At 51.6% G+C, this 13,856-nt stretch overlaps 1 pseudogene, besides 1 other annotated feature; it reads left to right on the top strand.

Annotated features, from left to right (window-relative positions):
- Positions 7,187-7,676: an enhancer, noted in NCBI's record as "OCT4 hESC enhancer chr2:91744009-91744510 (GRCh37/hg19 assembly coordinates)". NCBI's record gives its function as "activates a minimal SCP1, AML or CMV promoter by ChIP-STARR-seq in primed H9 embryonic stem cells {active_cell/tissue: H9 hESC(primed)}" and the evidence as "EXISTENCE:reporter gene assay evidence [ECO:0000049][PMID:30033119]".
- Positions 8,914-9,769, top strand: LOC107985797 (MAPK-interacting and spindle-stabilizing protein-like; annotated as a pseudogene).
- Positions 9,770-13,856: the final 4,087 nt, after the last annotated feature.

Raw genomic sequence — 13,856 nt, 5'->3', positions numbered from 1 at the left:
TTAAGATTTGAAGGGGGCCAGGTGTGGTGGCTCACGCCTGTAATCCCAGCACTTTGGGAGGCTGCAGCAGGGGGATCACGAGGTCAGGAGTTCAAGACCAGCCTGGCCAACATAGTGAAACCCCATCTCTACTAAAAATACAAAAATAAAAATAAAAAATTAGCCGGGTGTGGTGGTGGGTGCCTGTAGTCCCAGCAGTTTGGGAGGCTGAGGCAGGAGAATCGCTTGAACCCAGGAGGCAGAGATTGCAGTGAGCTGAGATTGTACCACTGCACTGCAGCCTGGGAGACAGAGCAGGACTCTGTCTCAAAAAAAAAAAAAAAAAAAAAGATTTGAAGGGAGCCCAGGGGGCAGGACTGGGTGGGCACAGGATGGAGACAGTGACACCCTTGGTCTTGGGTGGCCCCTGCCAGCCCCAGCATATCCTCAGCAGATAGGGTGACAACAGCGCCTCTACCTCTAGCGGGAGGCGCAAGAGAAATTCACGCGATGCACTTGCCTGGGCTTGGTGAGTGGAAAGCTCCCCACTGACTCGAGGGCTGGTGGTGAGGATGGAGAGGGAGGTGGAGATGGAGGCGACAGCATGGGCAGAGCAAGAGCACAGCTGTGGAAGGGAGGTCCTCCCAGCTAGTCTCAGCCACCCTGGGTTCTTACCCTTTCACAGCTGGGGAGTGGAGCCTGGGCCTGCGCCTCTCCGCGCCAGAGCCGGCGCCAGCGCCTCTCCGCGCCTCGCCGCCGCTGTCTGCCTCTCCGCCACTGTCCGTCTCTCCGCCGCGCCGCCGCTGTCCGCCTCTCCGCCGCTGGCCGCCTCTCCGCTGCGCTGCCGCTGTCTGCCTCTCCGCCGCTGTCCGTCTCTCCGCCGCGCCGCCGCGCCGCCGCTGTCCGTCTCTCCGCCGCGCCGCCGCTGTCCGCCGCGCCGCCGCTGGCCGCCTCTCCGCCGCTGTCCGCCTCTCCGCCGCGCCGCCGCTGGCCGCCTCTCCGCCGCTGTCCGCCTCTCCGCCTCGCCGGCGCCAGCGCTGTGTGCCTTTGCGAGGGCGGAGCTGCGTTCTCCTCAGCACAGACCCGGAGAGCATTGCGAGGGCGGAGCTGAGTTCTCCTCTGCACAGACTTCGGAGATACAGCGAAGGCAGAGCAATGTTCTCCTCAGCAGAGACCCGGGCGGGCGGGCCGGTGGCACCGCGAGGGCGGAGCTGCGTTCTGCTCTGCACAGACCTTGGGGGCACTGCCTCGCTTTGGGACAACTCGGGGCCGCATGGACGGTGAATAAAATCCTTCCTGTTTGCAGCCCTGTTTGTGGTTGGTGGCAGCGATGGACACTGCAGCCAGCCAGAGCGTAGAAAGGCGTCGGGGTAAGTGCGCTATCCAGGCTGCACTGTGGGTGGCCTGGGACGGGTTGGGAGCCCTATCTCAGGCGTCACTGCCCGTCTTGGGTGGCCGGTTGGGTGTGCTATCTGGGGCTGTGCTGCCTGCACCGGGCGGGTGGGGGGGTGGTTTGGGGGCCAAACCGGGGCTGCACTGCCTTTGGTGGGGAGCCGGTTGGGGGCACTATCCCAGACTGTATTGCTGGCAACAGTGAGGTGGGCTAAGTGTGCTATCCGGGGCTGCACTGTGCGGCTGTCGGGGGGGTGGCGGTTTCGGGTTGAGGGCGCTATGGGGTGCTGTAATGCCCATGGTGTGGGGAGGCGGGGCAGTTTGGGTATGTTGGGTGTGCTATTGGGGGGGTGACACTGCTGGTGGTAGGGGGCAGGGTGGGTTGGGGGCCATATCAGGGGCTGCACTGATGGCTTTAGCTAGGATTTCTGGTACTATGTTAAACAACAGTGGTGACAGGGGGCATCCTTATCATGTTCCAGATCTTAGAGGAAAAGCTTTCCATTTTTCCCCATTCCATATGATTCTAGCTGTGGGTGTCTTTCCTGTAGTTTTTATTATGTTGCGGTATGTTTCTTCTGTGCCCGTTTCTTTGAGGATTTATAGCATGAAGGGATGTTGAATTTCATCAAATGCTTTTTCGGTTTCAGTTGACGTGATGATACTGTTTTTGTCGTTTATTTGGTTGATATGATGTATCACATTGTATGTTGAGTGACCCTTGGGTCCCAGGGATACATCCCACTTGATCATGATGAATTATCTTTTTAATGTATTACTGAATTTGATTCACTGGTATTTTGTTGAGGATTTTTGCATCCATATTAGAGATCCTGGCCTGTAGTTTCCTTCTTTGATGCTTTTGTCTGATTTTGGTATCACAGTAATAATGGTCTCATAGAATAAGTTTGGAAGTATTCCCTCCTGTTTTTCAAAATAGTTTGAGCAGGATTCGTACTAGGTCTTTAAATTGTTTGGTGTGAAGCCATCAGCAGTGAAGACATCAGTTCCTGGGCTTTTCTTTACTGGGAGACTTTTTCTGATGGCTTCAATCTCATTACTTGTTACCAATCTGTTCTGGTCTTGGATGTTTTCATTGTTTAACCTAAGTAGGTTGTATGCATCTAGGAATTTGCCAATTTCTACTAGGCTTTCCAATTTATTGGCATATAGTAGCCAGTTATGATCCTTTGAATTTCTGAAGTATTAGTTGTAATGTCTCCTTTTTTAATCTGTTGATTTTATTTATTTGAATCTTGTCTCTTTTCTTAGCCTGGTTAAAAGTTTGTCAATTTTGTTTAGCTTTCCAGAAAACCAACTTTTCATTTAATCTTGTATGTTTTTTATTTCAATTTTGTTTGTGCTATGATCTTATTTATTTTCTTATTTTCGGTTTAGTTTGTTCTTTACTAGTTCTTTAAGATGTATTATTTGAAGGTTTTCTTTTGTTTGGATGGTAGGCACTTATAGCTGTAAATCTCTGCCTTTGTACTGCTTTCTGCATAACAAGTTTTGGTATACTGTGTTTTCATTACCCTTTGTTTCATGAAATTTTTGAATTTCTGTCTTAGTATCTTCATTGACCCGCTAGTCATTTATTCAGGAGGGTAGTGTTTAACTTCCATGTGATTGTATTGTTTCCAAAATTGCTTTTCTTATTGATACCTAGTTTTATTCCTTTGTAGTGAAAGAAGATGGCCACGGAGACAGACAGCAGCGTGGTCAGAGTGGTAGGAGCTGACCATCAGCGAGAGCTGCTCCATGCCTGGCTGCTGGGTCCTAGAGCCTGTGGCCCACTGGCTTGCCTCACTGTGGTTGGTGGTGGTGGTGACAGAGACTGCAGGACGACCAGATGGTAGGACAGGGGCTATCCAGGGCTGCACCTTTTGCAGTGTGGGGTGGGTTGAGGGCGCTATCCAGGGTGTCATTGCCTGCATTAGGGGTACTGGTTGGTAGCACTGTACAGGGCTGCACTGCCCACGGCAGGGAGGGTGGGTTATGGGTGCTTTCTGGGGCTTCAATGCCCATGGAGGAGGACAGGTTAGGGCACTATCGGTTATACGCTACTGGCGGCATTGGGGGATGGAGGTGGGGGGCGCTATTGAGGGCAGGACTAGCAGTGGAGCGGGGGCGAGTTCGGTGCTATCAGGGGCTGCACTGCTGGTGTCGGTCAACAGAGTTGGCATCCCAGGAAGGAGTGGTTCTCCTCTCCCTGACTCCACACTCCAGAGGGCGACCCACTCTTGGTCATACTGGAGTGCAGCAGGGCACGCAGCGTTTGCGTGGGAATCCTGAGCATGGCAGAGCCCCCACACCCACCGTGGTTCCTGGGCCTGTGTACTGTGGGTCTGTGCCTCAGAGGCTTCCAGGCACCCCTGGGGACACCACGGGGGACAGGGCCCTGTGCGTGGAGGCGTCCGGAACAGGAATTGGCACCTGGGTGCGGAGGGCTGGCTGGGTCTGAATTTTTCTGCTTCTCCTGCTCCCCGAGGAGTGCAGCCCCAGTGGGCCCAATGGTTCCTGTGGAGTGGGGAGCTGGGTGCTGTGGTGTCTCCAGCACCCACCCCAGACCCCAGTTCCTGCCCAGCTTGGGCCAAAAGGAGAGGCTGGACTTTGGAGGGTGGGTGTGAGTGCCTTTGCTGAAACTGGCCCCTGCCACCCAGTGGCCGGCATGACAAGTTGAGGCTCTAACCCTTCCACCCCTCACATCTTTCTCTAGGCTTTTCCGGCTTTGCCCGCCCAGCTGCTCTGTGCCAGGAAGAGGAGGAGACACCTAGAGCCTGCGACACCATGGCTCGCCTCGCTGCGGGTGGGCGGCAGTGACGTAGCCTGCAGTGCGCCAGAGTGGTAGGAGAGCGGCTGCACTAGGAGGGCAGGCGGCTGCAGCCAGGGTTGGGGGTCAGGCTTAGAGCGATGGACGGGCTGCAGCAGTGGCCAGGTGGTAGGAGCCTTGTAGGGAGGGCTGGTGCATTGGCAATGGGCCTGGCTTTGCCCTGCGCCTGCCGTGGATCTGGCCCTGTACTGCCCTGCCTTGCCCTGTACCTGCCCTACTGTTACTTGGACTCTCGGCCCTGTCCTGCTCTGGTCCCATCCTGACCCTGTCTTGGCCCTGTGCTACCCTGTCCCTGCCCTGGTCTTGCCCTGGCACTGGCCCTGCCCTGAACCTGCACTGGCCTGACCTTGGCTCTGGCCCTGGCTCTGGCCCTGCCTCTTGTCCTGATCCTGGTCGTGTCATGGCACTGGCCCTGCCAATGGTCATGGTCCTGCTCCTGTTCTGGCCCTGACCTGGCCTTGGACATGTCCTGGCCCTGCTTTGGCCCATCCCTGCCCTGGCCCCACCATGGGCCTGCCTGTTCTGCCCTCTCCTGGCACTGACCTTGCCCTGTCATGGCCCAGTGGTGCCATTGCCCTGCCTTACCCTGCGCTGGTTGTGACTTGGCCCCGCTTGGTGCTGGCCGCTCCCTGGACCTGCCCTGGACCTGCCCTGACCCTGCCCTTGGCTTTTGCCCTGCCCTCACTATGGCCTGGCCCTGGCCCTAGCCCTGGTCCTGCCATATCCCTGGCCCTGCCCTTATCCAGGCCCTGCCCCTGCTGCTGCCCTGGCCCTGGCCTGGAACCTGGTCCTGTCAAGGACCTGCCCTGACTCTGCCATGGCCCTGGCCCTGCTCTGCCTTGTTCCTGGCCCTGACCCAGACCCAGACCCTTTCCTGGCTCTGCACTGGACTTTCCCTGGCCCTGAGCTGGCAATGGTCTGCCCCTGGTCTTGCCATCACCCTGCCCTGCTGCGCTCTGGATGTGTCATCACTCTGCCCTGGCCCTACTCTGCCTTTGACCCTGCCCTGGCCTTACCTTGGCCCTCACCCTAGTCTTCGCTAGACCCTGCTCTGGAGCTGGCCCTAGCACAGACCTGGCCCTGATCCTGGCCGTGGTCTTTGTCCTGCCATAGCCCTGGCCCTGAAGTGGACTTGGAGGTGTCCTGGCCCCGGCATAACATGGCTCTGCATTGGCCTGTCCCTGCCCTGCCGCTACCATCTCCTTGCCCTGCTCTGTCCTGTCCCAGCACTGTCCCGGCCGTGCTATTTCCCTTCCCTACCCTGCCTTGGCTGTGCCCTGGCTCGGTTCTGGCCCTGGCCCCGGCCCTGCCCTGGACATGCTCTGACACTGCCTCAGCCTCGGCACTAGCCTGGCTCTTTCTTGACATCAGCTCTGCTCTCTCTGTGGACCGGCTCTTGTCCTGTCCTACACTGGCCATACCATGCCCTGCCCTGCCCTGCCCTGACTCAGTCCTGGCTCAGCCCTGGCCCAACCTTGGCCTTGGCATTGCCCCTGGTCATGCCATATTTCTTGCCCTGTCCCTACCCTGGCCTTGGCCCTGACCCTTACCTTGCTGTGGCCCTGCCCTTGCCCTAACGCAGCCCCTGGTCCTGTCATGGCCCTGCCCTGGACCTGTCCTGGCCCTGGCCCTTCCCTGCTTGAGAACTTGCCCTGGTTCTCCCCTGGCCCTGACCCTGAAATGCCTGGCCCTACCCTGGCCTTGCACTGCTCTGGCCTTTGCCCTGACTCTGGTCCTGTCACTGGCCTAGCCCCAGCCCTGTTGCTGGTCTTACCATGGCCCAGACCCTGCCTTGGCCCTGCCCTGACACTGTCCTGGACCCTGGCTGTGCCAAGAACCTGCACTGTCCTTGCCATTGTTTTGCTCCTGCCCCGAACCTGGTCTTCCCCAGGCCGTGGCCATGGCCCTGGCCCTGGCCCTGCCCAGGTCTTGGCACTGTCCTGGCCCCGCCCTGCCCTGGCCCTATGCTTTTCTGGCCCTGCCTTGCCGGCCCTGGCCCTGCCTTGGCCCTAGCCTGGCTTTGACCCTGCCCTGGCCCTACCTTGGCCTTCACCCTAGCCTTACCTGGGCACTGTGTTGGACCTGGCCATAGCACAGACCTGGTTGTGGCCCTGGTCCTGCCGTGGCCCTGTCTCAGACCCTAGCCCTGCCAGGTACCTGTCCTGGCCCAGCTCTGGGCCTGGCTTTGTCCCTGGTTCTTAGATGAACCTGGTCCTGCTCCTGCCCTTGCTCTTGCCCTGGCACTGGCCTTGGACATGTCCATGGTCCTAACCCTGGCCCTGCCCAGGAGCTGCCACTGTCTTGGCTGTGCCCTGGCTCTGGCCCTGCCCCGGCCCCAACCATAGACCTGCCCTGGTTGGTCGTGAACTACCTTAACCCTGTGCTACCCTGGGCCTGCTCCACCCTGCCCTGGCCCTGCCCTCCCTTTGGCCCTGCCCTGACCCTGCCTTGGCCCTCACACTGACCCTAGCACAGACCTGGTCCTATGTGTGGCCTTGGCCTGGCATTGACCCCTGCTCCTGACCCCGGTCCTGCCATGGCCCTGGCCCTGCCAATGACCCTGGCAGCCCTGACCCTGGCCCTGTCTTGGCCCTGGCCCTGAACTGGCCCTGCCCTGACCCTGGCCCTGAAGTGGATTTGCAGGTGTCTTGTCCCTGATGTAACCTGGTCTTACCATGGCCCTGTCCCTCCCCTGGCTCTGTCCTGGCCTTCTGCTGACCCTGACCCAGACCTTGGCCCTGCCCCAGCCTTGTCCTAGATCTGGCCATGGCCCTGCGTCTGCCCTGGACCAGCGCTGGCACTGGCATGGACCCTGGCCCTGGCCCTTCGCTACTTAAGGCCATACCCTGGCCCAGCCCTGGTCCTGACCCTGTCCTGGCCCTAATTTGGCCTGGCTCTACCCTGGCATGCTATTCTGGCCCTAGCCCTGACCCTGTCCCTGTCCCTGTCCTGGCCCCAGCCCCATTGCTGGTCCTGCCACGGCCCTTGTCCTGACATTGCCCTTTCCTGGTTCTGGCCCTGGCCCTGTCCCAGCCCTGCTCTGGCCCTGGTCTGAACCCTGGCCCTGCAATAGACCTGCCTTGGTCCTGCCCAGACCCTGGCTCTGGCCCTACCTCTGCCCTGGCCATACCCTGGCCCTGGCCTGGACCCCAGTCCTGGTCCTTGTCCTGCCCCAGCCGTGGCCCTGGCCCTGCCCTGCCTGTGCCCTGTTCTATCCTGGGCTGGCCCTGCCATGGCCGGGTCTTGCCATTGCCCTGCCCTAGCCTGCCCTGCTTGTGCCCTAGATCTGCCCCGGCCTTTGCCCCTGTCTTGGTTCTAGCCTTGACTGAGCCCTGGACCTTCCCTGATCTTGCCTCAGCCCTGGCACTACCCTGGCCTTGCCTTGGCATTTGCCCTACCCTCTCTATGGCCTGGCTCTGGTCCTGCCCTGCTCTGCTCTTGTTCTGTCCTGGCACAGCCCTGGCCCTGGCCCTGGCCCTGCCGTATCACTGGCTCTGGTCCTGCCCTTATGCAGACCTGACCCTGCCACTGCCTTGGCTTTGGCCTGGACCTTGGCCATACAGTGACCCTGCCATGACCCTTTCCTGGCCCTGGCCTGGAACCTGGCCCTGCCAAGGACTCGCCCTGGCTCTGTCATGGCCCTGGCCCTTTCCTGGATTTGGGTGTGTCCTGTCCCTTATTTGCCCTGGCCCTTCCCTGGCTCTGCCATACCCCTTCTCTGGGGTAGGGCCAGGGTCAGGACCAGACCAGGGCAGGGTCAGGACCAGGGTAGGGCCATGGTAAGGCCTGAAGATGGGAAGGGCCAGGGCAGCGGCTGGACCAGGGAAGGGTCAGGGCCAGGGATGTAGTAGGACTAGGGGCAGAGCCGGCACTAGGGCTGAGCCAGGACAGAGCAGGAGAGATTACATTGGGCTATTACGTAAAATTTTTATTTTAGATTTTTAAGATAACTGTAGTAGTAGTAATGTCTATACTATAATGTTTGTAACAGTAATAATATTTGCAGTAATCACTAAATTTTAACTAATACTATCTTTGCTTCCAGTAGTGTTCTATGAGTATAATTTTATCAATATGTTAATATGTGAGGCATTGATTCTCACAATAATTCTATGTGCTAGGTACTTAAAGCATCCCCATTTTCCAAATGTAGGAAACAGGCATAAAGAAGTTAAATACTTGGCCAGATTACTCCTGTAATCCCAGCACTTTGGGAGGCCAAAGCAGGCAGATGGCTTGAGCTCAGGAGTTTGGAACCAGCCTGGGCAACATTGTGAAACCCCATCTCTACTAAAAATGCACAAAAAGAACTAATTTAAGTTTCTTGTAGGATTCTGGTTATAAAACACTGGTCAAACACACAGGGCATGGATAGGGCAGGGCCAGGGACAAGGTCAGGCCAGGAAGGGGCCAGGGCCAAGGCAGGGCCAGAGATGGACTTGGAAGTGTCCTGGTCTGATTTGCCCTGCCCCAACGTTGGTCCAGCCCTGCTCTGGCACTTCCTGTCATGCCCTGTCCCTGGCCTGAGCACTGGCCCTGGCCCTGTCCTGCTTCTGGCCCTGCCCCGGAGTTGACCAGGCACTGCCATGGCCCAGTCCTGCATTGCCCTGCCCTCCTCTGCCCTGGTGCTACCATGGCCCTGCTTGGGCCCTAGCTCTGCCTCTACTCTGGACCTGCCCTGACTCTGCTCAGCCCTGGATCTACCCTGACTCTGCCTTGGTGTTGCCCTCCCATCTCTATGGCCTGGCTCTGGCTGTGCCTTGCATAGATCATGCTCTGCCCTGCGTGTCCCAGCCTGGGCCCAGCCCTTGTCCTACCATATTCCTGACCCCAGCCATACCCTTCTTCTGGCCGTGACCCTGCCGTGGCCCTCTCCTGGCCCTTCCTTGGTCCTGCCCTGCCCTTCCATGCCCTGGCCTTGCCCTCACCCTGCATTGGCCCTGCACTGGTCCTGCCCTGCCCTGGCACTGCCTTGGCCCCGGCCCTGCCTTCTCCCTGGTCTTGCCTTTGCCCTGCCCTGGCCTGACCCCAGGCCTACCGAGTCCATGAAATGGCCCTGGACCTGCCTTGCCATCGTCTGTCCTGGCCCTGTATTGTCCCCACCATGCTCTGGTCCAGCGCTTGCCCTGGCCCTGTTGCTAGTCCTGCCACTGTTATGGCCCTGCCCTGTTTTTGGCCATGCCCTGTGCTACCCTAGCCCTGCCCTGCCTTGGCCTTGGCCCTACCATGGCCTTCTCCTACCCTGACCTGGCCCTACACTGGCCTTTTCTACCCTGGCCTTGCCCTTCCCTGGTCTTGCCTTGCCCTGGCCTTGCCCTGCCCTGGCCTTGGCTTTGCCTTATCCTGGTCCTGGTTCTGCCCTGACCCTGGCCTTGCTCTGGCCCTGTCCCTGGCCCAGCCTTGACCCTGACCCTGGCCCTGACAATCCCCAGGTCTGACACTGGCCATGCTTGGCCCTGGCCCCTCCTTTTGGCCCTGCCCTGGCCCTGCCTTGGCCCTGTGCTATCTTAGTCCTGCCCTGGCCCTGAACTCACCCTGGCCCTACCCTCACCCTACACTGGCCCCGCCCTACCCTGGCCTTGCCCTGCCCTGGCCCTGCCTTTGGCCTGCTCTGGCTCTGGTTCTGCCCTGGCCTTGCCCTTGCCCTGGACCCTCCCTGGCCATGTTTTTTTCCATGGTCCTTCTCTGGCCTTGCCCTTGCCCTGTCCCCTTTCTGGTCCTGCCATATTTCTGGCCCTGTCCTGTCCATGTCCTGGACCTGACTCTGGCCCTGGACCTCCCTGTCCCTGCCCTGCCATACCCTGACCCGTTCCTTGCTCTACACTGACCCTGCCCTGCCTTGGCCCTGTGCTACCCTAGCCTTGCCCTGGCCTTCTGCTGACCCTGATCCTGCCATGGCCCTGGCCCTGCCATGTCCCTGCCCTGGCCCTGGTTCTGCCCTGCTTCTGGCCCTGGCCTTGGTCCTCTCATGTCCCTGGCCGTGACCCTGCCCCTGGTTTTTCTCTGGCCATGACCCTGCCCCTGTTCTGTCCTATCCCTGGCCCTGTCTTAGTTCTGTCCTAGCCCTGGCCTTTCACAGTACTTTATGCTTAGTAAGGGCTCCATGGTGTCTGTGAGTTGAATGTTGTGTTCATAGTATCTGCCAAAACAGAAAGAAAAAAAACAAAATATTTTGATAAGAAGTTAAAGCTTTGTATATAATATGCCTTGAATTGTAAATGCCTGTTATTAGTTGTATTACATATAGGTCATGGTTTTGTACACATAACTCCAAACCATTGATACTGTTAAAAGAATATATGAATATATGAAAGAATGTATAAATGTAAGAATGTATCATTATCTAATTACCTTTCCAAATTAATTTTTATTTTTAGCTCTATTAGATTTTTCTCAGTGTAACAAATGTTTATTCCTATGTAATTAAGGGCGTATTTCCTGTACAGAATATTCATATTACCTAATTGAAAATTATATGATACAAAAATATAATACTATTTTTAGGCCAGGCATGGTGGCTCATACCTGTAATCCCAACATTTTGAGAGGCCAAGTTTGGAGAATCATTTGAGTCCAGGAGTTGATCAGCCTGGGCAACATAGTGAGACCTTGTCCTTATTAAATAAATAAATAAATAGGTTGGGCACTGTGGCTCATATCTGTCATCCCAGCATTTTGGGTTGCCAGTGCAGGAGGATTGCTTGAGCCCAGGAATTTGAGACCAGCCTGGGCAGAATAGCAAGACTTCATCTCTACAAATAATAAAATATTAACCAGGTGTGGTGGTGCGCACCTGGGGTCCCAGCTACCTGGGAGGCTAATGTGGGAGATTTTCTCGAGGCTGCAGTGAACTGTGAATGCACCACTGCATTCCAGCCTAGGCCACAGAACAGGACCTTGTCTATGAATAAAGAAATAAGTAAAAATATAAATAAAAATAAGTAAAAAGAAATATTAGTAAATATAAATATAAATACATATAAATATAAAAATGCATGCATGAAAAGAAACAATTTTTAAATTTAACATCACTGAGGGCATCCTATCCCTTTCATTTCATGATTCCATTATGTCATTTCACTTAGATGAAATGATAAGATGACGAGATGAGATGAAATGATGAGATGAAATGACAAAATGATGAGATGAGATGAGATGATGAGATGAAATGGAGAGTGGAAATGATGAGATGAAATGATGAGATGAAATGACAAAGTTGAAAATAAATTGAAAGGAGATGAGATGAAATGAGATGAAATGATGAGATGATGAAATGATGAGATGAAACGAGATGAAATGATGAGGTGAAATGAAATGAAATAATGAAATGATATGAAATAATGAAATTGAAATGAGATGAGATGAGATGAAATAATGAGATAAAATGAGATGAAATGAGATGAACGATGAGATGACATGATGAGATGAAATGAGATGAAAAATGATGAGATGAAAAATGAGATGAAATGAAATAATGAAATGAGATGAAATGAAATGAAATAATGAAAGGAAATTATGAAATGTAATGAAATTGAAATGAAATTGAAATGAGATGAGTTGAAATGATGAGATGTAATGATGAAATGAAATGATGAAATGAGATGAGATGAAATGAGATGAAATAATGAGATGAAATGAGATGATGAGATGAGATCATGAGATGAAATGATGAAATTAAATGAAATGATGGATGAAATGATGAGATGAAATGAGATGAAATGTAATGAGATGAAATGAAATGACATAATGAAATGAAATAATGAAATGAGATGAAATGAAATAATGAAATGATGAAATAATGAAATGAAAATGAAATGGAAATGATGAGATGAGAAGAAATGATGAGATGAGATGAGATAAAATGAGATGAAATGATGAGATGAAATGATGAGATGAGATGAAATGAGATGAAATATGATGAGGTGAAATGACATAATGAAATGATGAAATGGAATAATGAAATGGAAATGAGATGAGATGCAATGAGTTGAAATGAGATGAAATGATGAAATGATGAGATGAAATGAGATGAGATGTGATGAAATGATGACATGAAATGATGACATAAAATGAGATGAAATGTAATGATGAAATGAGATGAAATGATGAGATGAGATAAAATGATATGAAATGATGAGATGAATGATGAGATGAAATGATGAGATGAGATGATGAGATGAAATGATGAGATGAACTGATGAGATGAAATGAAATGAAATAATGAAATGAAATTGAAATAAATAAATAAAATTGAAATGAGATGAGATGAAATGATGAGATGATGAAATAAAATGATAAAATGATGAGATGTGATGAGATGAAATGATGAGATGAGATGACATGAAATAATGAAATGAAATAATGAAATGAAATTGAAATGAGATGAGAAGATACGAGATGAAATGAAGTGATGAGATGAAATGATGAAATGATAAGATGAAAAGAGTTGATGAGATGATAAGATGAAATGATGAGATGAAAAGATGAGATGAAATGAAATGATGAGATGAAATGAGATGAAATGAAATTAGACGAAATGTAATGAGATGAAATGAAATGACATAATGAAATGAAAAAATGAAATAATGAAATGAGGTGAAATTAAATGAGATGATGAAATTAAATGATGAAATAATGAAATGGAAATGATGAGATGAAATGATGAGATGAATGATGAGATGAAATGAGATGAAATGATGAGATGCAATGATGAGATGAAATGATGAAATGATGAGATGAGATGAGATGTAATGATGAGAGGAAATGATGAGATGTAATGAAATGAGATGAAATGAATGAGATGAAATAATGAAAAATTGAATTGAGATATGAGATGAAATGAGATAAAATGAGATGAAATAAGAAATGATGAGGTGAAATGAAATGCTGAGGTGAGATGAGATGAAATGAGGAGATGAAACGATGAGATGAAATGAAAGGATGAGATGAAATGATGATATGAGGTGAGATGAGATGAAATGAGATGAAACGAGATGAAATGATGAAATGATGAGATGAGACGAGAAGAAATGATGAGATGAAATGAGATGAGATAAAATGAGATGAAATGAAATGAAGTGAAATGAAATGAAATAATGAAATTGAAATGAGATGAGATGAAATGAGATAAAATGATGAGATGAAATGATGAGAAGAAATGAGATGAAATGATGAGATGATGAGATGAAAAATGATGAGATGAAAAATGAGATGAAATGATGAGATGAATTGAAATGAAATGAAATAATGAAATAATGAAATGAGATGAAATGAAAAGAAATGATGAAATGATATTGAAATGAAATTGAAAGATGAGATGATGAGATGAAATGGTGAAATCTTGAAATGAAATGATGAAATGAATAGATGTGACATGAAATGAGCTGAAATGATGAGATCAAATGAAATGAAATGAGATTAAATGATGAGATGAAAACTGATGAGATGAAATGCTGAGATGAAATGAGATCAGATGAACTGAGATGAGATGAGATGAAATAATGAAATTAGGTGAAATAATGAAATGAGATGAAATAATGAAATTGAAATGAGATGAGAAGAAATGAGATGAAATGTTGTAATGAAAGGAGGAAATGATGAGATGAGGAGATGAAATGATGAGATGAATTGAGATGAAATGAGATGAAAAATG

This window comes from Homo sapiens, chromosome 2 (genome assembly GCF_000001405.40).
Source record: "Homo sapiens chromosome 2, GRCh38.p14 Primary Assembly".
Lineage (NCBI taxonomy): Eukaryota > Metazoa > Chordata > Mammalia > Primates > Hominidae > Homo > Homo sapiens.
Note: the sequence above shows the minus strand (reverse complement) of the source record. Positions and strands in the feature narration are given on the sequence as shown.